Source organism: Homo sapiens, chromosome 8 (genome assembly GCF_000001405.40).
Source record: "Homo sapiens chromosome 8, GRCh38.p14 Primary Assembly".
Classification (NCBI taxonomy): Eukaryota; Metazoa; Chordata; class Mammalia; order Primates; family Hominidae; genus Homo; species Homo sapiens.
In genome coordinates, this window is record NC_000008.11 from 105,435,026 (window position 1) to 105,460,876 (window position 25,851).

Sequence of the window (25,851 nt, forward strand, 5' to 3'; positions counted from 1 at the left end):
CAATACCTAATAAGGTATTTAAAGATTCTGTTTCATATGTTTCAAAGACTATATTCAAGTGCATTTCCCCGAGCCATTTATGCTATGCATTATATTGCTCAATAACACCTTCAATTTCCTCCTATAGGACTCTCATTGATTCTGAAACCTAGACTAAGAAAAATGGAAAGGCCCACAAAATACGTATGATATCTTTTAAAAGAGTAACAAAAGAGTTTAATCTTGCAATGGAAAACCATTAACTTCATAGCCATAATTTTGGAAATATTATAGATTTTGTTACTGCTTGACATTTATTCCATTTCATCATTTTATGAATTGGTCTCTGGATATATATAGTGGTTATCCCATTAAATATGTTTGTGCTTTGCTGAAAATACACTGAAATTTCTATTTAAAAGTATATGAATAAAAAATTTAGAAAGTAAATGAATGGATGTTAAATGAGTTCCTAGCTCTTTCTGTAATTCTCTTCTTGGCATCTTTTTTCTGTCTTCCTTTCCTCTTCCTATCAACACAGCTTGTGAAGCAGTATCTTAACAAACTTGTCGTTATTATCTTGCTATTAATTATTCATTCCAATTTTCCTAAGCTACTCTAGAGTACCGATTTCAAACATAGAATCAAAAATGGATAGAAGTAAAAAAAAATGTTGGTCAATAAAGTCAATTTCATTTAAACTAGGAAGAAGCTTGGGTTAATATGAAAATAAAATTGTATTTATAACTTTTTCATGAGAATATATTGGAAGTAAAGAAGCAAGTCTCTATTGTGAGAAAAAAAATAGTTTCCTAAAAGTAATTCGAAGATTTCATATTTGATTAAATTATTTGTAATCACTTATTTTTCATTAGTAAAAAGCATTAAAAAATGAATTATGTCAAAACATTACCATAAAAATAAGAACTAGTTTTCTGAGATAAAGTTAGAAGATGAAGGGTCTAAAAGTTGGAAACTTATGACATTTTATTTATTAAATAGAAAGAATGTGCTGAAAGCAATTAATTAGCAAGTGTAATGATATTGCAGTAAGTTATGGTAAAAAGAACGAAACTAAAATCTAATTTTTTAAGTGCTCAGTAAGCAATGGTAATTGATTAACATTTGTATGTAGTTGATTTTTCTAAGTGCCAAGTAAAATAGTAAACCTTAGGGAAAAAATAATGCTTATGAAGATCAAATTCGTTAACCATTTTATTTTAATATGCAAGTGCCTGGGCGCGGTGGCTCACACCTGTAATCCCAGCACTTTGGGAGGCTGAAGCAGGCTGGTCACCTGAGGTCGGGAGTTCGAGACCAGCCTGACCAACATGGAGAAACCCTGTCTCTACTAAAAATACAAAGTTGACTGGGTGTGGTGGTATGTGCCTGTGGGCCCAGCTACTTGGGAAGGCTGAAGCAGGAGAATCGCTTGAGGCAGAGGTTTCAGTGAGCCAAGATGGAGCCATTGCACTCCAGCCTGGGCAACAAGAGCAAAACTCCGTCTCAAAAAAAAAAAAAAAAAATTATGCAACCATAATGAAGAAATGGGACTTAAACATGATAAGGATAAAGCAGCTGTCAGATCACATCCTGCTATCTCTGTTGCTTGCCATGTAGTCGACTTTGACGGTAATGTCCTAGTAAGTTAGAGGCATGGTCTTTGGAGTCGGACTAACTTGGCATCAAATCCTGGTTCTGCCACTTACTAGCAGTGTGCTTGGGCATCTTTCCACATCTCTCCCCCTTGGTTTATTTTTCTGAACTATAGGAATATTAATACATGGCAGATCTGTTGATGTGATGTTTATAAAGCATTTAGCAATATACCTAGTGCTGAGTAGTGCTTAAGAGATGATAGCCATGTTTAGATTTAGTATAGAATCTGATCTTGATGACATGATCTATACCTTATTCATCTTTATGATTTCAGTGTTTTCATATAGCAGATATTGAAATGAATATAAATTAAATTCTGTTCCATTCTGTTTTCTACATCCAAATTTATCATTTCATATGAGATTATTTTGTTTTAGTCATCTTTCTTTTTTTATTTGCATTCTTTCTTTAAGAAAAGATTAAATAATTAGAAAGTTTAAACTATTCTTTCCTCTCCAAATTTTTTTATTAATGTGATATATATTGCATACCCCTTACCTAGTTTTATAAGTTGCTCAAAATAGGTGCAAAATGTAATTTATTTTGAGCTGTTAAATGTGTATACTTAACTACTATTGTAGTGCTTCTTTAAATACTCGGCAATACTTATTTTCAGTATCTCTAATTATTTGTAATGAATGAAACAAATTGGAGCAAATCATTCAATGAATCTAGGTTATCAATATTGAGTATTGCTACCAAGTTGAAATCTAAGTTCTACAGTTCTGATTTGGCAGTTAAGTGACATTTAATGAAAGTTTTTTAATCATATGAAACTACTTGTTCAATCAACCCCTTAATAGGTTGAATTACAAAATTTTCATCTTGACATTTTCTATCAGATACGGGATGAGAATGATCAGGGGTAAATTTGGCATATACTGAATGAAGGAAAGGACTTCACTCAGTCGAAGTACTTTTCAAACTCTTTAGCATCTTAAAATGTCTTCTGGATTATACTCTTACCTCATTGAACTATCTAGTTTCACCACCTTCAAGCTGCCATGTTTCCTGCACAATAACTTAATTACCATAATCTTTTCCTATGGGACTCTTTGGGAAGGTGGCTGCCATTTTTAATGTTAAACATTGTTTCTGGCCAGGAGTGGTGGCTCACGCCTGTAATCCCAGCACTTTAAGAGGCCCGGGTGAGTGGATCACCAGAGGTCAGGAGTTCGTGACCAGCCTGGCTAACATAGTGAAACCCCGTCTCTACTAAAAATACAAAAATTAGATGGGCATGGTGGTGCGCATCTGTAATCCCAGCTACTCAGGAGGCTGAGGCAGGACAATTGCTTGAACCCAGGAAGTGGAGGTTGCAGTGAGCCGAGATTGTGCCACTGCACTCCAGCCTGGCAGGGAGAGACTCTGTCTCCAATAAAAAAAATAGTAATAATAAAAATAAAAAATAAAAAGTTGTTTCTAGTCATGTAGCCTCAGGATATTAAACATACAGAGTTCAGTTTCACATCTTCAAATTTTCAGATATTTATTGGTTTCTTCCTCCAAGAAACTTCTGTGGCATCAAGTCTGGGTTTGTTGTCATGCTTGTGTGCTCCTGTCCCATCATGAACTTCTCCCCTCAAAGCACTCATCACACCAGCTTGCAGCTCCCTATCAATCTGTCTGTATCCTACACTGGTCTATATGTGATAGATGAGAGTAGTCATTTGTTTTGTATTCTCAGTGCCCAACACAGTGCCTGGGCCTGAAAAAGCTGTGTTTTAATGAACTAATAAAGAACACTTTGTATCACTTCTGTTTAACAGAGGTGAACATTTATCAATTGAACTGGATCATTTTCTTTAAGTTCTAATTTTTGTGGTAACTCTGATTACTCGGCAATGTATTCTTCCAGACACACTCCTTTCTATTTTTTCTCATTATTTTTTCTTCCAAAAATATGTAATTTGCTTAATAAAATATTTTGGGGTAGACTTAACCATGGTCTCACAAAAATTGGGAGAGAGAATGTCTGAGACATGAGTGTTGTTATGGAATGAATAAGGGAGAACTCAAAAGACCCGAAGTCTGATACGGTATGTTCATAGGAACTTAGTCAATATAGGTTGATTACTGTATTTGTATCACAGGGTCATATCAGTCCCCCCACTGAAATACCTCCAGTGCATCTCATTGCAGTCAACATGAAGGTAGAACTCCAAAATTCATTATATGGCTTCTTCATGGTCAGTCTCTTTTTGTGCTTCTGGTCTCTGAATTTCTATACTTTATGTCTTACCACTTGGAATTATTCATGAACTATCTTTATTGTAGGTTTTTATCAGTGGCTACTGCTCTCATGCATATTGCCTATTTCCCCAACTAGATTATATGGTCCTCAACAGAAAGCACTGTTTTTTTTATTTTTCATATTTCTCATTGTATTTTCAAAAATGTGTGAGTAATGTTAATGATTGATTGAATTTTGCATAGCACCATATATTTCCAACTGAAATGTAACAGTAAGATGCAGGAAGGCTTACTCCTTTGTGTGAATGTAAGGACAATACAGTTAATACCTGAATATAAAATAACTTCTCTAAGTGGTTCTGCTTAGATTTTATTCTCTGTTATCTGGGCACCTGGCTATATAATTTTTAACAGTGTGGCCTCATGGTTGTTTGTTAATGGGTTGCTCTGGGGTTATTATTCAGGTGTTCATGGTTCTCTCCTCAACTGGAGGAGAGATGTAAAGAGAAAGGATGTTTTGGAAAGAATGCCAGACTAGCAATTAGGAGACTCAAATTTAATTTATAATCTTGTACAAACTGCTGTTTTTGGTGGCCTTTATGATGCCATAGCCCTACTATCCTGCTTGTTGGGGAAAGGAGATTTACATAAAACTGCTTCAATCTGCCACCCCTGTGATGTGTGGGAAGCACTTATTGCTGGAACATGATATTTGAGGAAGTTCCTTATGCAGAAACTAATATGGTAGCTGTAAGACCATGGATAAGTTATTGACCCTATCTGTGCATCAATTTCCTGAATAGTAAATTGATCTAATTTGGGCTACATGTTTTCCAAAGTCCCCTCTGGTGCTCAAATCCCTGTGTTTCAAGATTCATAAGGAATAAGAAAAGTGCTTGGAAGGAGTGGATATTATTTAAAAACTGTAGGGTATATTCTCTATTCTTTACCATTGGGGAGAACAACTCCTTTTGTATACATCCCTGAATTAGCTCCCAGAGTGATACTCCATTTAGTCTGTGAAAATGTAATCAAAAGGTCACTCACCTAAGTGGTAAATAATTGTGTAGATTCTAGCTTCCATGAAAAATTAAGTATTGGAAAGGTCAACGTTTCCCCAAATTGGGTCAGGTATCCCTAGTGGCACTCAAGAAGATTAAGATGGTAAACTGATATTTTATTAAATAGCCTTGAATCAATGGTAAAAAAGTTCTCAAGTTTCTTATATTCTTTGTATATCAGTGAGAATGTCTCAATTTCATATTACCATTTATCACTTAAATACTCCTCTAGTACTTGCTACCCTTTCTAATACAAAGCAATGAGATAGAAACTCAGAGTCTAAATAGAGATGGTAGCTAGCATTTAATAGTATTATCTGTATTTTTGTTGAATCTATTTTGTGATTACTTTCTATTTTTGGCATGTGATACTGATTTTCCCTTTGTAGTAGTGATAAAGTTTTTGTTTTTCATATATGTTGTTTGTTTTTAAAATACATTTTTGGTTTTTTTTTTAGTTTATGAAATCAGTTATTAAAAAGTGAGTCAATTTAAATAAAGTAGCACCCAAAATATTACATACATGGTGACTGGCCCCAAATCATAAAAGTAGCATAAGAAGTTGGGAAGAAATGGGGTGTATCAGTAAGAGTCCATCAGGAAACTGATGATGTGGTCACTGGGTTTAACTAAAGGCATTTTGGTGAAGGGATAGTGCACAAGGTGTGGGTGGGACTAGGGAAACGAACCAGGGATGGGAAGCATCTATGGGCTCACCACAGTAGGAAGCTGTTAGCACTTCTGGTCTCAAAAGACACGAGAGAAGATGCAGGAGCAGGAGGGCACCATAGAACAGGAGCTCTAATTCTGCGATACAGTCACTGCTAGCAACTGAAGACCATCAAGAAGGAAGGGAATAAGGGATGAATACCTGACCTCTCTCTCCTCCTACCTCTGATCCTCTGCTATGCTATCAGTGCCTCCGGTGGCTGAACTCAAATCAGAGGCCAAGGGACGGGAGCGGTGGCTCACGCCTGTAATCCCAGCACCATGGGAGGCTGAGGCGGGTGGATCACGAGGTCAAGAGATCGCGACCATCCTGGCCAACATGGTGAAACCCCGTCTCTACTAAAAATACAAAAAAAAAATTAGCCAGGCATGGTGGCGCCTGCCTGTAATCCCAGCTACTTGGGAGGCTGAGGCAGAAGAATCACTTGAACCCGGGAGGCAGAGGTTGCAGTGAGCCGAGATCGCACCACTGCACTCCAGCCTGGGTGACAGAGTGAGACTCCATCTCAAAACAAAAACAAACAAACAAACAAACAAAAACCAAAAAAACCCCTTGGACCTTACCTTGCATTTTCATTTGTCAACTTACTCTCCTTAATTGTGTTTTTATTTTCAAAAAGGGACTGTCATTTTCTGTAACTATCATACTGTACCTACCACAGTTCCTTAAACATAGTAGATGCTCAATAAATATTTTATGGAGGGAATTTCATTGGTATTCATTCTGATAATCCGAACAGGCAAAAGGAGTGAAAACTCTGTCTCAACAAAAAAAAAGAAAGAAAGAAAGAGAGAGAGAGAGAGAGAGAAAGAAAGAAAGAAAGAAAGAAAGAAAGAAAGAAAGAAAGAAAGAAATCAAAGCCCAGGGGCGCCCCGGTGTTGGAGTCTATAGGAGTTCAGGATCCCTTGGTCACAAAGCAGGGCCAAGAAGGAAGAGAGCGGATTGGGGCCAGCAAGAAGGGACAAGCAGAGAATGTCCAGGAGACATTAGGGTTCTCCACCACAGCTAACATTGTGATTCCAGTTATGCCAGTTTGCTAATTACATGACATTAGTTCAGTACTTACATGTATGTAGGGGTGATATTCAAAGACTACTGGTATGGCCTGGGATCTGACCAATCCAAACGGATACCATAAACCTCCTGCTCACCAGGCTTTCATCACATAGTTTCTGGATTGAGAGAAGCAGGAGGAGGCTCAGTAGAGAAGGGCCAGAGCAGGTACAGTCAGGCAGAAGGGAACTTGGTTAGTTCAGGGCTAGCGTCTATGTAACCTGCAAAATGGGGCACAGAAGATAAACCCTTTTTTGTTCCTGAGACTTTTTTATGGTGTGCCTTTATGCTTGCTAAGACTTGGTCTTATTTGTTTTAAAAATGTTTTAAAAATTTGTTTTGAAAACTTGGGGCCGGGCGCGGTGGCTCACGCCTGTAATCCCACCACTTTGGGAGGCCGAGGTGGGCGGATCACGAGGTCAGGAGATCGAGACTATCCTGGCTAACACGGTGAAACCCCGTCTCTACTAAAAATACAAAAAAAAAAAAAAAAATTAGCTGGGTGTGGTGGCAGGCGCCTGTAGTCCCAGCTACTTTGGAAGCTGAGGCAGGAGAATGGCATGAACTCAGGAGGTGGAGCTTGCAGTGAGCCGAGATCGCGCCACTGCACTCCAGCCTGGGTGACAGAGCGAGACTCCGTCTCAAAGCAAAACAAAAACAAAAACAAAAAAACAACAAAAAAAACTTGGACCTTACCTTGCATTTTCATTTGTCAACTTACCCTCTTTGTGTTTTTATTTTCAAAAACGGACTGTCTTTTTCTGTAAATATCATCCTGCACCTACCACAGTTCCTTAAACATAGTAGATGCTCAATATTTTATGGAGGGAATTTCATTGGTGTTCATTCTGATAGTTCTGAAAGGAAAAATATTTTCAAAAATATTTTAATTTAAGACATGGGATTCAGTGGTGTGGTTTATGTATTTTATTCTTTAATATCCACTAGAATCCGTGCTCTCCGTTAAGTAAACTGAGTTCAACAGAGCTGATCCTGGGTTTCTACATTCCTACTCCTTACCTTTATTACAGATTTTAAGTTCATTTTATGAAGCTACACATAGAAATGAAAATAAAATGTATGGAATTTTAACTTCAAAGCTCATATTAACATCATGTTAAATGTCATTCATCGTAATCATGATTTCCTGAAAATTCTGTATTTTCTAAGTAACTTTGGAAGTTCTTAGAAGTTCAGTGTTTTTTTTTTGTATAATCATATAAAGATTTAAGTGGTATTAGAGAGTTGGGAAACTGGAAAATAGTTATTGGATACTTCAGAGAAAGCTAGATAGGCAAGCAATTTAATTTAAAAATCTTGGCATTATTGGCCGGGCACAGTGTCATACCTGTAATCCCAGCACTGTGGGAGGCCGAGGCAGGTGGATCACTCGAGGTCAAGAGTTCAAGACCAGCTTGGCCAACATGGTGAAACCCCATCTCTACTAAAAATACAAAAATTAGCCGGGCGTGGTGGCAGGCACCTGTAATCCCAGCTACTTGGGAGGCTGAGGCAGGAGAATCGCTTGAACCTGAGAGGTGGAGGTTGCAGTGAGCTGAAATTGCACCATTGCACTCCAGCCTGAGTGACAGAGCGAGTAAGACTCCTTCTCAAAAAACAAAAAACAAAAAAAAAAAAACTTGGCATTATTAAATTCAAGGCATAGTTGCTGTGATTTTAGTATTCATGTTTTTTTGTCTTCATACTTTCTTGTTATTTTGTTTCTATTTTATTACCATTTATGGCAAAATATTAGTATTTTAAAGTATGCATTATATTAAAGTGGACTACTTTTCTTAAAAGCAGCACATACTTTGTTACATTATCACTTAAAATGAAGGTACTCATTAATTAGACTTTTTGCTTTTAAAATATGGTTGTATCATTAAGGTTTCTCCTTTGCCATAACTATATTTTTGCTCAGAATGTTACTGCCTTTTTAATGTGAAAATGATGGCATAAAATTGTAGAAACTAGCTGTATTTATTCAAGCAAAAATATAGGTTTATAGTTTCTTTTATTGTGAGGAGTTGAGTCACTGGCTAATCATTTAATTATGGCCTTTTCCACTAAATTTTTAAAACAAATAAGACCCAGTCTTAGCGAGCATAAAGCTGGGGAAAAATAAAAGTGTTCTTCAAAGTAATCTAAATTCAACCAAAACCATAAATATGTCTTATTCTATGATATTTATTTATCTGCATCTTGTCTTTAGAAAAGTTATAATTTGGAAATCAATGAGTTAAGTTTTTCTGTATTGAAAGTCTTAGAAAAAATTATAAACTGCAATTTCATTTTCTTCTTATATATATTAATAACTCCAAAGGAAAATTTACATGGAAATGTTTTTATGTTTATAGTACTTAACTTCATTCATTTATTGATAACAAATACTGATTTTCTTTATTGTGAAGCCACAATAGATATCAAAATAGTCATGAACATTTATTAGTGTAATGACAATATGTATAACAAACCTGTAATTAGATATATGATAAGGACATCCCTTTATGAGGGTGTGAATGTGAAAGAGAGAGCTTTGCTCATTTTCTTTCTCTCCTTGTGTTGGTGTTTTCCAGGTGATGATGAAGGAATCCAGGAGACAGCAGAATCAGATGGGGACACACAGTCAGAGAAACCGGGGCAACCTGGAGTTGAGACAGACGACTGGGATGGACCAGGTAGGGGAGAATATTTAAAATTCAACCGTCTTTAGTACTGTTAGAAATACACATTTTTCTTTTTTTCTTGAACATCAGTTAGCTTGCAAAAAATGTTTTTGTGTGTGCTGGTTACATGAGAGTTTAAATAAAGATTATTATTTTAAAAATACTTCTTAGATTTTTGTTATATAAATTATAAAAACCAAAGTGCTACCTCTGCTTGAAGTTTCTGTCATTTTTTTCTTTCATCTTCATGTAAAATTAGTCAATTCTACTTGCTTCTTTGAACAAAGGATCTTTAAGCTACATCCAAATTTAAATTGGGCACACTATTAAAGCTTACAAACAAGAAACAGTACTTCAAAGAACTATCATTTTCAGTTTAGTCATGTTTTAAATCATAGGTTGAACCTCAATACATATTTAGAAGTTTAGAAAATATCAAAAGATGCCCCCTTTTGATTTAAGGTTTGAGTAACATTTTCATTTTGATGAGGAAAATTACATTTGATTTTAATGATCTTGACATTTAATCATTTAAAGAAAAACAAAAACTGATCAAAATACTCCACCACACCAATATAAATGTATGTAAATATATAACAGTCAAAAGAACTCTGCAGAAAAAAGGCTTTATATTTGGTGCCAAGTAATTTACAATTGATAGTATATTTATAAATGGAGACTATTATGTCACAAGGTTTAAGAATATAAGTGAGTTCTGAGATAGTTTTAGCCGTAATTTCCAAAGCAGTAACATTTTTCATTAAGAAAGATCCCTATATTTCAATCACATTTTCACCCTTGCATGACTTTGCAAATTGCTCTCTGCTGTACGTGAAGAAGAGAGGAACTCCAGCAGTAATTTTCTGAAACCAGCAGCTGGAAAATATAATGCAAACAAAAATGAAGATACAGTATATCTGATTATTATGATGTCATTTCTAATGTTATTCATCATACACACAAATGTTTGTATTCTGTATACTATAACATAATGCTATACAAGATTTTATATCAAAAATGTATTATATTTAAAGTACCTTATTACCACATTTTAAGAGTTTGAAGGAAAATATAGCCTTCTGGCATTTTCACCTTATGGCATGATGCTTCTTCTCAATGTGGGGAAAGATTCCCTCGATTAAAAAAAAAAGTAGGGAAAAGATTTTCGGAACATCTAGGTTTTGTCATGGAGGTTACCTTTAACTTAAAAACAGTGAGTGAACTTTTATATATTATAGTTCCTTTTTTTTTTTGAGACAGGGTCTCACTCTGTTGCCCAGTCTGGGGTGCAGTGGCATGATCTTGGCTCACTGCAGCCTCCACCTCCCAGCCTCAAGTGATCCTCCCACCTCAGCCCCGCAAGTAGCTGGGACTTCAGGCATGCACCACCACAACTGCCTAATTTTTATATTTTTTGTAGAGACTGGGTCTCACCACGTGGCCCAGGCTAGTCTCAAACTCCTGAGCTCAAATGATCTGCCCGACTCATCCTCCCAAGGGAATTACAGGCATGAGCCACTGCACCCAGCCTCTTACAGTTCTTTTCTTTTCTTTTTTCTTTTTTTTTTTGAGACAGAGTCTCACTCTGTCACCCAGGCTGGAGTGCAGTGGCATGATCTCGGCTCACCACAACCTCCGCTTCCCAAGTTAAAGCGATTCTCCTGCCTCAGCCTCCCAAGTAGCTGGGACTACAGGCATGTGCCACCGCGCCTGGCTAATTTTTTGTATTTTTAGTAGAGACGGGGTTTCACCATATTAGTCAGGATGGTCTCGATCTCCTGACCTCGTGATCCTCCCGCCTTGGCCTCCCAAAGTGCTGGGATTACAGGCGTGAGCTACCGTGCCCGGCGATAGTTCCTTATTCATAGAATTAAGTATGTATATGTTAATTTAGAAGTGTTTTTACATTTAAAAGTTTAGTTGGCCTTTTAGATATGCCTGCTTGCGAAAAGGTACATTCTGGCTTACTCTTATGATGGGGAAAATTTGTAGGGAGTAGGTTTTTATCTTTGTTTATGTCTGGGGCCCATAGCTTTTCCAGTGACTTGGGAGTAAGTAAGCAAATTTTAGGGGATAAAATGCCAAACACATGCTGTACACCCAGTGCTACCTTTTTCAGGAAGCTTTTCGAGAAATAAAGTTGTATTTGTGGCTAATAAAAGAGGGGGAGAGAAAGTGAACAAGGTGAAGAATTATGCTGTCATTCAAAATGAAGAATTTTCCATTTTCGTTTAAATTTATTTAATGTATTTAATTTAATGTTTTTATTTATTTGCTGTTGGTAAAAAAACTTTATACTCTTTTCTGGGCACATATGGTTATGACAAAACTTTGAAGAGAAAATATGTATCTCTAAGCAGGTATGGCTACAAAAAAATTTCTTCTTCGTCTATTATAAAATAAATAACAATTTTTTTCTCTATACACATTTAGCCAAAAAAGGGGTTTTATTATTATGAAAATCCCTGAATTGAAGTTGATTCATAACAATATCTATTTATTTACTTTTCAAGGTAGAATATTCATTAATTTCCTTTAATCAGGAGATTAGGGAGAAAGTAGGGGGTATTTCGTGTTTTCGCTATTGCATAAACAGCAATTACTTTGATGTTACTACTGCAAGTTTTGTTATTAATGAAATAGTATTGGCATTTTCCAACTGTAGTCAGAGAGAAAATTGTGCAACTTTTAGTGACAGTTTCCAAATATATTGGAAAATGGGCTTTACTGATGGTTACCCCATTTACCCTGATATGACTATTACACATTGTTTTCCTGTCTTAAAATATCTCATATGCCCATGAATATATACACCTACTATATACCCACAAAAATTAAAAATTAATAAAAAAATAAAATAGGCTTTAGATTCCATGGGTTTAGGTTCAATTCTGGATTTAATACTCACTATCTGGGAGATTTTTGGCAAAAAATTTGGAAGTTTGGCAAAAAAAAAAACCAAAAACCTGTTCTCACTTTACCTATATCCTCATTTGTAAAAAATAGAAAATAATATTAACAACTCTTAGAGAATTAAATCAGATCATATACATGAAATGTCAGTGATCATTATTGTGGCTTTGCAGTTGTTGAGTCTTGAAGCCGAACCTTTAGAGTTTCTAATGCCCACTAGTATATCTGAAGAAATAAAGAGAAAAGTTTTGTCATACTAATTGAGTTTAGCCGCAAATTATTGATTAAGATATGAGGTATTGAAACAGATTTCGATTTCAAGGTCTTCTAATTTTAAGGTTCTCCACCTCAGTTCTGACAGTCACCCTAAGAGAGATGATTTTCTCTAAAAATAGAACAGAGTCAAAGGATGGGAAAATTATCTAAAGAATTTGAGGCATAGAGCTGACGTCATTTAAGATGGATCAGGATTTATCTTTTTTTAAAAGAGTTTGATTGACGACGACTCCACAACCTTTCTTGATGGCTGAATTAAATAATGAATCAACTCCCGTCTGACGTGTTTCATTTTATCAAATGCAGATTCCACAGTGGAAAGTACTTTTTCCCTTATGTTATTCAACTAAAAGATATGTTTTGTTATCACTATTGCTCACACCTTTGTTAGCTGTTATGATTAAGTGGAACCTAAACAATCTTTAAGAAAATTATCTTACATGTAAACATTTCTATGGTGAAATTCTTTCATGTTTAAATGTTTGTGATTCCTGTTTAAGTATACTTCAAATTCCTATGAATCTTTCATGGTTTGAGTGAAAAGCTAGACACACTAAGCTGGTAGGGTTCAAGCCAATATAAAAGTCATTGTCTCATTATTTCAGTACCTCTCAAGTCTGTTTTTTAATGTAATTGTTCTTTCTTCCTTATAAAATTTTACTTGGACACTTCTTTGCTTGGAATCTAATTCACAGAACATTTGCTCTTCACTATTCTGGTTTTTCATCTGTCTTTGCCTATATTTTATTTATCTTATCTGTCTTCTTTTTAGTAAACATCTTTTCTTTTCTTTGATTGTCCTCACAAATTTTGTGTTTTATCACTCTCACAAGTTCTTCAGTTTACCAATATTCTTATATGTCTAATTATTCAATAAATATTTATCTTGCATTTATTGTAATAATTGTTAAAAGCACTTGGGAGAAGTTCAAGGTGTAACATCATGCTGTCTGTATTCTCATTTTTTTGATGTCATTTCCCTCCTGTGGGCTTCTTTAATTATTCATGTACCATATTTGAGTCACTGATGCAATAATTAAGCATCTCATAGAATGGAGAGTAGAGTATGGTTTAAACTACAGAACGAAGTGTACAGATTTTAGATTCTGGCATGTTAAGTTCAGAAGTTCAGGCCAAGCTTCAGTTTCCTTATCTTTAAAATGGGAATAATAATAGCTTGAAATACTGTGATTTGGATGAAATTTGAAAGAGATGATATTTACAAAGTATCCAGCACAGAACTTGGGAGAGAATAGGACTTGCTAAACGTAAGTGGTCTTCCCTTACCCTAGGACTGAACTTTGTTAAACACTTTTCACTCTGTCCTTTCAGACTGACCAATGGTTGGAATGTTGACCTTATTTTGAAAATAGTGTTTACATCCCTGGCGATCTTAAGAACCACATTCCATGACCGAAGTCTGTTTTATGTACTCGTATTTAGAAGGAGACTAGGGAAAGAAAATTTAGGTAAATCTTTATAAATCTGTCATCTACCTTTATGAAACAAGCACCTTAAAAGTCACATCTTACTTACATCAACTTTCAGTATGCTAATTCTCGGAATTACCTTATTAAAACATGGTTACTACTTTTTACACTTGAGAATAGTGAAAATCTGATTTGTCTGGTACAATATTGCATGAAATCTTGGTCTTACCATCAGGCTTATAGCAGCTATAATTGAAACTTCCAGGAGCTCTAATAAAGGAAAATATCATGCTACTTAAATATGCAAATAAGTACATGTACCCACCCCCACAATAACATGTGTTAATGCAGACATACACAGGTATAACATTTTGAGCAGGTATTGAAATTCTTTGACACAAACTTTTCAGGATAAGTATATACCTCTATTTAAATAGATTTTAATATTTATATGTTAAGCTTTGGGTCATTTCAATAAAAATGAAGTAGAAAATCAAACACTATATTGATGATTTGATGAATTAATAGAATAAAATTAGTAATCATTTTTTGTATTATACATTTTCAAATATTAAAACTTGCTGCTACGCTGATAAGTCAGAGTATCCATCAAAGGTAAATTATTTTGGGGTAATGTCATGAATGGAGAAGGCCAAAAACATTCCCTCTGTTTATATCTTGGTTCTGCCACTTACCAATTTTGTGACTTTGAGCAAGCTATTAACACTCCAAGGCCTCAGTTTCCTTGTTTGTAAAATAGGGCTAATAATAATAACTACCTCATTAATGAGATTTTACATCTAAAGCATGGAGCTCAGAGCTTCCTAAGTGCTCAATTAATTACTCTTAATATTACTTTTACTATCATTTCAGCAATTGTACCTGTGTGGCCATTACAATGCCTTACATGTAATAAGTCCTTGTTAAACATTAGTTGCAGTGGGTTAATTTGGCAAATGATTTTGCAATGTAAAAGTCATCGTAGTATTATATTAAGTATGTTCTATTCCACCCGACTTAAAACATGATTCAATTCAAGAATTTTTAATGTAAATAAATTTTCAAAAATAAATGTCTAGGGCAAAATCAGACCTGTCTACTTGTTGCATCTTGACTAAAAATTGGTCAAGGTATCTGTAAATAAGTTGCTTTATACAGTTGCTGTTCAACATTATGGATATATACAGATGATCAGGCAAGTTCTGCTTTGTACTTTAAACTAGTAAGATGATCACTTTTGCATGAAGTGAAACTGTAGCCAGAAGACCACTATGAGATAGAAGCACATACTTAATGATACAGCTTTTTCCCCCTCTTTACTAGTCCAAAGAAGGGCTTGAAGATTACAGTTCTGATTTCGTTTCCTTTTTGATTGGGAAAATGTGGTAGATATAAGATCTTGGAAATGCCATTTGAAGTAAATTAACAGAAACCTATGAAACATAGTTAACCATAGATATAGTCTGACAGTAAGAAGAATATTGTGAGAAGCGGAGGAAATCCTAGAATGACTGTGTATTACTCTGACAGTGAATTGGTATTATCTCTGCTATCAGATAATGCAGTTATCATTAATTTTCACATTTGCATTTCAATCTTTGGAAGGAAATGACTCTTGCCGGATGAAGATAAGAGCTCTGTACCACTATAATGAACCATCATTTTATCTCAATGCTTTGTGTCCATATGAAAATGAGGCAGAGAGGAATGTGTGTGTATGTGTGTGTGTGCTCACGTGTGTGTATTGGGGGGGTCAGGAAAATATTATAACAAAGTGTCAAAAACTGGTACAGACTTTTGAGCCCTTTATGAAACAAGAGGGGGTAAAAAATAAATCTTCTGTAGTGTAGTTAAGTGGATATCGGATTAAAAGATGAAAGCCTGGCTCTTTGTAGAACAGAATGCCACATGAACACAGTAAAAAAGTTCTCTTTTATTCCCTACTCCAGTTTGCACTCTCATATAGAATTAGGACAGACATAAACACAACCAAAAAGAAAAAAAAAAGTAGGTTGGATCACTGGAAAGACAGCTAATGTCTTTGATTCACAAACAACTTTATAAAGTATACCAATTTATTATTACTATTATGATGATTATACTTCTTCAGCTGTGTAAGAATGGGAACTAAGTATATTTAGATAGTGGCTTGTTTTAGAGTTTGCAAACATCTAATTTGTTTACATAAGTTAAATTGAGAAATTCAAGTTAAAGATAATGAATTTGAGATAAATTTTCCTTGGACCTTTTCATTGCAGTGACCTTTTCATGAGACACAGTACTGGAAAATGGATACAGTGTCAAATTTTATAATTATCTTATGGGCCCCCAAATATATGACAATTCACCAATTATTTACAGTAGAAGCTCCCTCTCTAAAACTTACTGATGAAAGCTCTTTTGGGTTGGGTTCTATACCGCCAAATTTATATGTTCAAATTCTAACCTTCAGTACCTCAGAATGTGGTGTTCTTTGGAAATAGGGTTGTTGGAGATATAATTGGTTAAGATGAGGTCATGGTAAAGTAGGGTGGACCCTTAATCCAGTATAACTGCTCTTCTCTGGGAGACATGCAGGAGAATGCCTTGTGGAGATAAAGGCAGAGACCCCAGTGATACTTCTACATGCCAAGGAAAGCTAAAGATTGCCAGTAAACCACCAGAAGCTAGAGGAGAGAGACATGGAACCGATACTTCGTCATGGCCCTCGGAGGGAACCATTGCCGTTGACACCTTGATCTTGGACTTTTAACCTCCAGAACTGTGAAACAATGAATTCCTGTTATTTCAGCCACTCAGCAAACTGACACAGCAGCCAGGAGTTAGAAGGAAACTATGTGGGCAGTCACTTATATGCTTCCCAGGCATACTTTTTACTATAATTTTTAATTTATTTTAAATATTGTCTAAACCTATGAAATATGTTCACAAAAATATATTATTTCTATGAAAACTGTGTTGAAACCTTCAAAAGACTGGATAAAGGAAAATCACTAAAAAATGTAGGTGTGGTCAGAAAACTTTGAATAATTTGCGAGAAAAATCTTAAAAAATGTTAAAGAAACTTCACTTAAATAGCTTTGCAAAAGCTTTTACATCCTCCATTCTAATGAAACAAACTAGAAATCATACATAAAGGATGTGAATGCTGTTTATACAAGTGAAACACAAATTGGTTGGTCTATATAAAATTCTAGACCCTATATCAAAAGTTTGATGCTTTTATGCATTATGAAGTAAAATATAATGCTTATAACACTATTTTAAAAACATTTCTATGGTTTGAATAACCACTACCCACCCCAGTTGTGTCCACTAACAGGGTTTTACTGTGTTCTTTCTCGTTGAACCATAATTCAGCTTAGAATGCATCTCAACAGGGCACTTTAGAAAGACACTACGAGTCAGTAGGAATTGGTATATAAGAAATATCTTTGCCATTCTTTTTATAACCTCCATTATTAAAATGTATGCACTGTCCAGGCATGGTGTCTCATGCCTGTAATCCCAGTGCTTTGGGATGCCTCGGTGGGAGGATCTCTTGAGCCCAGAAGTTTGAGACCAACCTGGGCAATATTGTGTAACCCTCATTTCTACAAAAAATTAAAAAAAAATTAGCCAGACGTGGTGACTGGCACCTGTGGTCCAAGCTACTTGGGAGGCTGAGGCAGGAGGATTGCTTGAACCTAGGAATTTGAGGCTATAGTTAGCTGTGATCCTGCTACTGCACTCCAGCCTGAGCAACAGAATGAGACCCTGTCTCAAACAACAACAACAACAAAACAAAACAAAACGACAAACAAACAAAATCCAAAATTATGCATTAAATATTTATATTGGACCAGAGATTATTGGCATTGATTTCCTTGTACCAGTATTGTGCTCTGCAAATATATGTGAGAATAAATTGACTCTCGTATCTGGAAAGCTGAAAGAAAGAAGTAAACCTGTTTTGTTTTTATTTTGTCTGGTTTTAAAAATAACTTAAGTGGGCTTAAAATATAAGTAAAGATCAACACGATATGCATTAGAAGTAGTTTAAAATCATGAAAAATAAAATAGATGCATAGAGATATAAACAATTTGATATTAATGTGCCACAAATTTGGAACTAAATTACTAGAAGGGTAATATTGACTGAGTACACAGATAAATTAGTTAGGGCAAGTTTATGTTTTCAACTACATATTTAGTATTAACTATATGCAACACTCAGTGGTAGGCCCTAGGATATACAGCAGTAAATAAACCAGAGTGGTCTCAACTTCAGAGAGTGTATGTTCTACCAGAAATTGAAAATTGTTTTAATAATGATTTTTGAGTTCTTATTGCATATGTGATATCTGTTCTCTAGAAGTAACTTAAATGATACCATAAAACTATATTATCAGTGGTGGGGCCAGCCCAGTCTGGTAGAAAGAGATTCAGTAATGACTTCTGTGAGGACCAATCATTTTTAACTTAATTTGTTTTTATTTTTATTTTTTATACTTTAATATGCAAAGTTTTAAACATGCATCAAAGAAGAGGGAAGAGTACAATGAATTCCCATGTACCCATTGCCCAACTTCAAAAGTTATCAACTTTTAGCTAATCTGATTTCATCAATTCCTTCTAAATTTTTTTTTCTGGAGTTTTTTTTGTTTTGTTTTGTTTTGTTTTTTTCTTTTTGAAATGGAGTCTTGCCCTGTCATCCAGGCTGAAGTGCAGTGGCCCCATCTCAGCTCACTGCAACCTCCGCCTCCTGGATTCAAGTGATTCTCTTGCGTCAGCCTCCCTAGTGCGCCACCACACCCAGGTAATTTTTTTTATTTTTAGTAGTGATGGGGTTTCACCATGTCAGCCAGGCTAGTCTCAAACTCCTGACCTCAAGTGATCCACCCGCCTCAGCCTCCCAAAGTGTCTAGAGTATTTTAAAGCGAGTTTCAGAAATCATGTCATTTCACTCACGGGTACTTTGATAGTCTCTCTAATAAATGAGGACTTTTGTTTTAAACAAATATCAATATAACACATAAAAATATTCTTAATATTATCTAAAACTCAATTCATTTTCAAACTTCCCTACTTATCTCAAAAAATTTCTCTAGGGTTGGTTTATTGGAATCAGGATTCAATAAAGATCCATGTATTGGTTTATATGAAAAGTCTTTTCGAATGGAGAGCAGTCTCTCTCCCCCTACACTCACCCCCCACCCCCATACACACACTTATTTGTGGAAATGAATTAATTTCTCCTGGAGTATTTTTCATATTCTAAATTGGGTAGATTGCATCCTGGTGGTGTTGTGTAGCATGTTCTTCGATACCCCACATTTCTTGTAAATTGGTTGTTAATCTAGATCCTTGAATAAATTCAGATTCGATATGGTGGGCATCAGTACTGCCTACACATTGCTTGGTGCTTTTTACTGCTTTATATCAGCAGGCACATAAAGACTGGGTGCCCCACTGGATGCTCCAATGCACTATCAGTACAAGTGTGTGATGTACTATGTGGTAGGAATGCTCACTTGTGCTATCACTAACTTACACTTGCAGTGATAGTACCGTGTATCAGGTGATTTAGGTGTTTCAGCCTGATCCGATGTTTGTGAAGTTTCTGATCAACTTTTCCCTAATAATTATTGCCAGGATCCCTTGTATCTGTAGGATTTGCAAAATGCTGGTTTTCACATTTTGTCATTTTTTATGTGAATGTATTAGCTAAAATTATTATCTTATGAAAGTCTTCCCTTCGTCCACTATTTGGTTAGCCTAAATACTGTTCATAAAGAAAGGGGAGGGTAAATGCATCGTTCTCATTATTTAAAACTTTTTGGAATAGTGAATTGGTGCCTTCACCCTCCAAAAGTGACTAAGACCTCAGGGTGGTTTCTGAGACATTTTGACGTGAACATAATAGACTTTGATAGCCTATTTACTCCTGGCATGATAAAATGTCAGAGGTTCATCTTGTTAGTTTTCTGTTCTAAACCTGGAGTGAGCTGTTTCTCCAAGGATCGTGGGTTACTATTCCTGGGATTTGGTACAAGTTGAGCATCTCAAATCTGAAAATTCAAAATCCAAAATGCTGAGTGCTGACATGGTGTTCAAAAGAAATGCTCATTGAAGCATTTTGGAATTTTGATTTTCTGGTTTGGGATGCTCAACAAGTAATGCAAATATTCCAAAAATTTTTTAAAAATCTAAAATCCAAAATATTTCCAGTTCCAAGCATTTCAGATAAGAGATACTCAACTGGTATTTAAAGACCTCAATCTAGGTAAAAGGGTTGTAAAGTATTTATTTAAATTAAGATCTGAAAGAGAAAAAGGCATTATTAGTTGGACAGAACGTGGGAGGGGGGTTTGAGCAAAAACTGGGATTCGAATAACCTGGGCAGAATATGCAGCTTTTTCAAAACCGTTGTCATGAGAAGGGAGGTGAATTCAAGGCCATTGTGACTGGAGCTAAGAAAACCAACCAAGAGAGTGGTATAAGATGAAGCAGGGTTCAGATTCTTCAGTGCCTTGTAGTCTGTAATACTATTATTGGATTTAAACTCAAAGCCAATCTGAAGACATATAATTCAGAGAAGTCACATGCTCATATTTGCATTAAGAATAAAAAAAGAAACGACTCTGATGACTATGTAGAGAGTGGACAGAAGGAAATAAAAATTCACTGGCCTTATCAAGAGATCACAGTGGCTTGTAGAGAGCACTTTATATATTTGTTAGTGTCATTATATGTGGCTTTCTCTATGTAGAATATTTTGACACCATTTACTGAGGTAAGAAAGACTAAAGGAAAGGCATGTTTATGGAGTAAGATGATGAGTTGGATTTTTAATATGGCACGGTTTTTATTTATTTGAGATATCCAAATGGAGCTGTTGAGTAGAACATTGGTAATATAGCCAGGGGCTTGGAAGAAAGGTCTGGGGTAGAGATAGAAATTGGAGAGTTAGCAGTGTACTCATGGCAGTGGAATTCTTGGGAGAAGATGAAATTGCCTAGTATAGAAATATAAACCAGAGGGCTGCAAAACAAACCTCTATCCCCTAGAGATAGGAGACAGAAATTCCCTATCTTTAGGGGAAGGCTAGAGGAAGAAGAGTCATCGAAGAAGACTGATAAGCAGTGGCCAGAGAAGATGGGGAAAACCAGGAAAATGTTTTTTTTTGTTTGTTTGTTTGTTTTTTTTTTAAGAAGGAAGGGGCTATGCCTGGCTTAAATGGTGCTGAGATGCCAAGATGGAGATTTAAGAATTTCCTCAAATTTAATGACATTCAGATATTAGTGATTTTATCTAGAACTATTTCATGGAGCTCTGGTGGCAGAAACCAGACTGTGGTAGGTTCAAATGAGAGGGAAAAACAAGCACATGGAATCAGCTGTAGTAAACAACCATTGTTGATAAATAAACATATAAAATATTTATTGTCAAATAAATATGTAAAATAAATTTTCTTGGTAAATTAATATATAAAGTACTTCTTTAAAACTCTCTGGTAATTGATTAAAATTATTCATTATCATTTACCTCTTATTTTTGCCTAAGAATTTTCCAGACTTCTGAATTTAGGGGTATGCTTCCAGAGAAATTTGTATTCCTGTATTAAACTACTCTGAATCTACTATCCATTAGCTTTATTAAATTGTTTTAGTTTTTCTTCAGGTTTTCCATAGTATTATTTCTTTTATTGCTTGTTTGTTTTGAGATGGAGTCTTGCTCTGTTGCCCAGGCTGGAGTGCAGTGGCATGATCTCGGCTCACTGCAACCTCTGCCTCCTGGGTTCAAGCGATTCTCCTGCCTCAGCCTCCTGAATGGCGGGGACTACAGGCTCACACCACCATGCCTGGCTACTTTTTTGTATTTTTATCAGAGACCGGGTTTCACCGTGTTAGCCAGGACAGTGATCCACCCGCCTGGGCCTCCCAAAGTGCTGGGATTACAGACGTGAGCCACTGCGCCTGGCCGTGTTATTTCTTTTAAATTTCATCATTTCAACCTTTGTCTCTCAATAACTTTGGTTTATCAAATAGCTTATGATTTTTGTGAGGTTTATCATTTGTAATGTGCTTGATATATTACATTTGCTAACAATAAATTATATAATATACATTTGTACTATGCATTTGATATGTTAGAGGTATGCTTGCTTTTTCAGTAGCCAAACAGATAACAGCCAGTATGTTGTTATTGTATTTTTGTTGTTGTTTTAACCTCAGTAGCACATTTGGACCTTGGGTGTTATTATATCTTTGTCTTTATAATAAACTCATGCACTTGTTTCTAAGATTGATACTTGGAGCTTGCAACTTATTCACTCATAAATGTAACTTACATATGCTTTCTAGATTTTGCACTTCTTCCCCTGCACCTTGGTAGACCTACATTGAATTAATTAATTTAATTAGTTCAAACATTTATTGAAGAAGAACTATGCAGTAGGCTCCCAGGATCAAGCGATGACTTAGTCTACCTTCAAAAGCTCACAGTACAGAGGAGAAGATAGACAAATGATGAGATAATTAAAACACATGGCTGCAGGTACAGTGATAGAGGCATTCACAGTGTGCAGTGTGATGCTGGTGGTAAGACTTGATGCTGATGAGGTAACACAGGAAATAATGATCTGGTCAAGCAATCCCAAGGGAGTGGTAAATTCACATTGGACCCACTTTAAGTTGTTACTCATAGATAGAAAATGGTTTTTGTTTGTTTGTTTGTTTTTTGCAAGTCTAATTCCATAGCATGTGTGGTAAACATGCCTTCATTTTGCCTGCAGAGAAGCCTTCACTTCCCAGCTATACCTGCTACCTGGAAGGCACTGTCCTCCCTGTCACTCTCATACCTGAGGAAAGGACAGACTCTCTGAAAGACGAGGGAAAATACAGTTTCCTGCAGGCAGAGAAGGGACTCCAGATTTAGACACGAGGCTGCCTATTGAAGATGCTTTACATCTACCAACTATATAAAGGCAACAATAAAAGGGTTTGGTAAAAGATTAGCAAAGAAATCTAACCAGGGACCCTGGTGGCCTCACTGGTCTTGTGTGGTGTTTGGAAGTAAGGCTGACTTGGCTCTTGGCTGTTGGAAGTTTTTGGAGAGTTTGAAGGGAATAAGAAAGGAGCCTCAAGGGATGTCCTCTGAACTTCTTGCCTACAGCAGAGTCTTTTTGACAAAATTCCCATAGGCCGTATATTAGGTGTAGTTAAAAGAAGATTGCAAAGTGTTGCATGTTTTCAAATTTTTAAAAATTTAATACAAGGTCACATACAAGGAAGCAAAGAAAAGAGCATATTTCATCTTAAACATACCTTTATCTTTGGGTAAATACACAAAGAATCAAAGATTCCTTTTTGTTTTCATGGCAGAGAATCAGTTGAAATGAATGTTACACTCCGTGTAAAGATAGTTACAACTTTACCGATGGAATGAAATTTAAAAAAAAAAAATTTGTTTTCCCCCCATTACCTTTTCCATATTAATCAATGAAGATTGTTACATTTTTGAACATTGTATTAATAATATAAACTAAAATGAAAACAACAAATAGACAAATATATTCTATCAGGGATGGAGACATGTTGCCACTTACAGAATTAAGTAGGCTATATGCCAAATAATATAAAAATGATCGAGTATCTGAAATTGACAGTGCATATTTTCAGTATGTATTTTTAATAAGCAATGCATTATTTCATATGACATTACTTTTAGTTATATTTTCTCTATAAAACCAATTAAAAGAAAAGCAAGCCAAAAGAAAAGAAAAAAGAGAAGCATTTTCCATCTTCAGAGTCTTTGCTCTTTCAGTTCTATTTTTTTAATTAGATGTTTTCCAGAACATTATCATATTCCTTAGTAGAGAATATTTTTTTTTTTACTCTGTAAGTTGAATAAGGGGGACATCTGGTTCCCTTGCCATTAAACAATAATTATAGTAATATGATTAAAGCTACAGTTTCTTAATAGGGTGATAAAGGAAAAAAACTTTAAAGACATTATTCTCACCAATTCTAATGCTATAACTGGGCATGAAAAATATTCTACAAACCATTTTCTTATTATTAAAGAAGTCACTTGAATGGCCCTTCTTTTTTTCTTTCTCTGAGACAGGATCTCACTCCTTCACTCAGGCTATAGTGCAGTGGTGCAACCACAGCTCACTATTCTCCCACCTCAGCCTCCCAGATAGCTGGGACCACAGGTGTACACAATCATGCCCAGCTAGTTTTTTGTTTTGTTTTGCTTTTATGTTGCCCCAGCTGAGTAATTCTTGTTAATTATGCAAATACAAGACAAATAGGAACCAGAACCTTCCAAACTGGGTGTGTGTGTGGTGGCAGGGGAGGGTGCTTTGTCACTTTGTGATAAATACTCCCTGTCTAGGAAATCTCTGAACCCTGGAAGGAGGTAAGAGACTGATTGGCATATGTACCCTAGGGGCTCTCTCTGTGGTGATCAACCAAACTCCACTACTTTCCCCCCAATTTGGGGTATGTATTGGCCTGCTCAGGCTCCCATAATGTAATACCACAGACTGGGTGGATTAAACAACAATAATTTTTTTCCTCATGGTTTTGGAGGCTGGAAGTCCAAAATCAAGGTATCAGCAGGCGTGGTTTCTAGTGAGGCCTCTCTTCCTAGCTTCCAGATGGCTGTCTTCTTGCTGCATCCTCGCCTTACTTTTTCTGCGTGTGTGAGGACTCCTGGTGTGTGTTCCTCTTCTTACATGGATAGCATTCCTACTGGCTTAGAGTCCTCTCCTTATGATCTCATTTAACCACAATTACCTCCTTAAAGGCTATACCTTCAAAGAGAGTCACATTGGGTATTAGGGCCTCAATATATGAGTTTTGGGGGAACACAGTTCAGTCCATAGTGGAGTGGATACGGTGGCTGTAACCAAAGTCTGCTGTCAGGAAAAAGACAACAAGGGAAGATTTCTGGAAGGCAGATAAAGCCAGGACTCAACACTAGGGCCTTTGGGTTTAAGAGAGAGGGCTGCTTCCCTCACCCCTTGTTCCTAAATCTAGAACCCTCTGGTACCAGATAGCATTCCCTGGGGTCCTGCTCTGGGAAAGAATGACTAAGCTGAGATGTGAGTGTTGATTAAGTGAGTGGAACCCTGCAGCCTAAGGTTGTATAGGAGCAGAAGCTGTTTGGGTATCACTTCAGTGGAGAAGGCAAATCAATTTTCTTGTGCAGGAAAGGTTTTCAATAGTGACACCAAAACATAGCAAGCAAAGCTGGGACTCCAGTGGCCTAACGGATCTGCTGGCTCTTCCAAATCCTGGAGAATTTAGAGAGAATAAAGAAGGTCTCAAAAGGAAGAGGCTTTGCTTGAGGCAAAATTGGGGAAGTTTACCCGAAGCTGACAAATGAGGGAAGAACACATAGGAAACCCAGAGAAGGAGGCATCTCTTTTGCTCTGAAAGGCCAGTTAAGGCCACTTGCCTTAATAAACATGGAAACATCCAACAGGTGGAAAGTGAGAGGAGAGGAAAAGGCATTCCAGCATCGCAGGCACGGGGAGCATGGCCCACCTGGCATCATATGGAGGGTGAAATGGGGTTAGGAGTGAGTTGAGGGCTTGCATTAGACACTCAGGCAATAGGCTTTTAAGAAATTTGGGTAAAATGAAAGGTGTCCACATCATTAATAAGTATTTGTGTTCAGTATGAGAATGCGTTGAAAGTGAAGGAGGAAGTACTTTTACCTTGCTTTGTCTGAGCAGTATAAAGCAAATAAAAGCAAGAGTTTTCTTATGGTTATACATACAAAATGAACCACTTATTATCCTGAAAAGAAAAAAAAAATGCTCCATGCATTGTGAAAAAATACTTTAACTATTTTAACTTATTAAATGTAACAATTATTTTATATTCTATATT

At 36.0% G+C, this 25,851-nt stretch overlaps 1 protein-coding gene across 9 annotated transcripts in view; it reads left to right on the forward strand.

The window, feature by feature from the left end:
• Window positions 1-25,851, forward strand: part of ZFPM2 (zinc finger protein, FOG family member 2) — a 486,102-nt gene that overhangs the window by 116,588 nt on the left and 343,663 nt on the right. For 8 of the 9 annotated variants that reach the window (NM_012082.4, NM_001362836.2, XM_047421634.1 and 5 more), the window contains one exon: window positions 9,255-9,356. In NM_012082.4, the coding sequence (NP_036214.2) occupies window positions 9,255-9,356 (102 nt within the window). Of the gene's footprint in view, window positions 1-9,254; window positions 9,357-25,851 lie in introns of those variants that run through there. The other variant, XM_047421633.1, reaches the window with a different exon arrangement.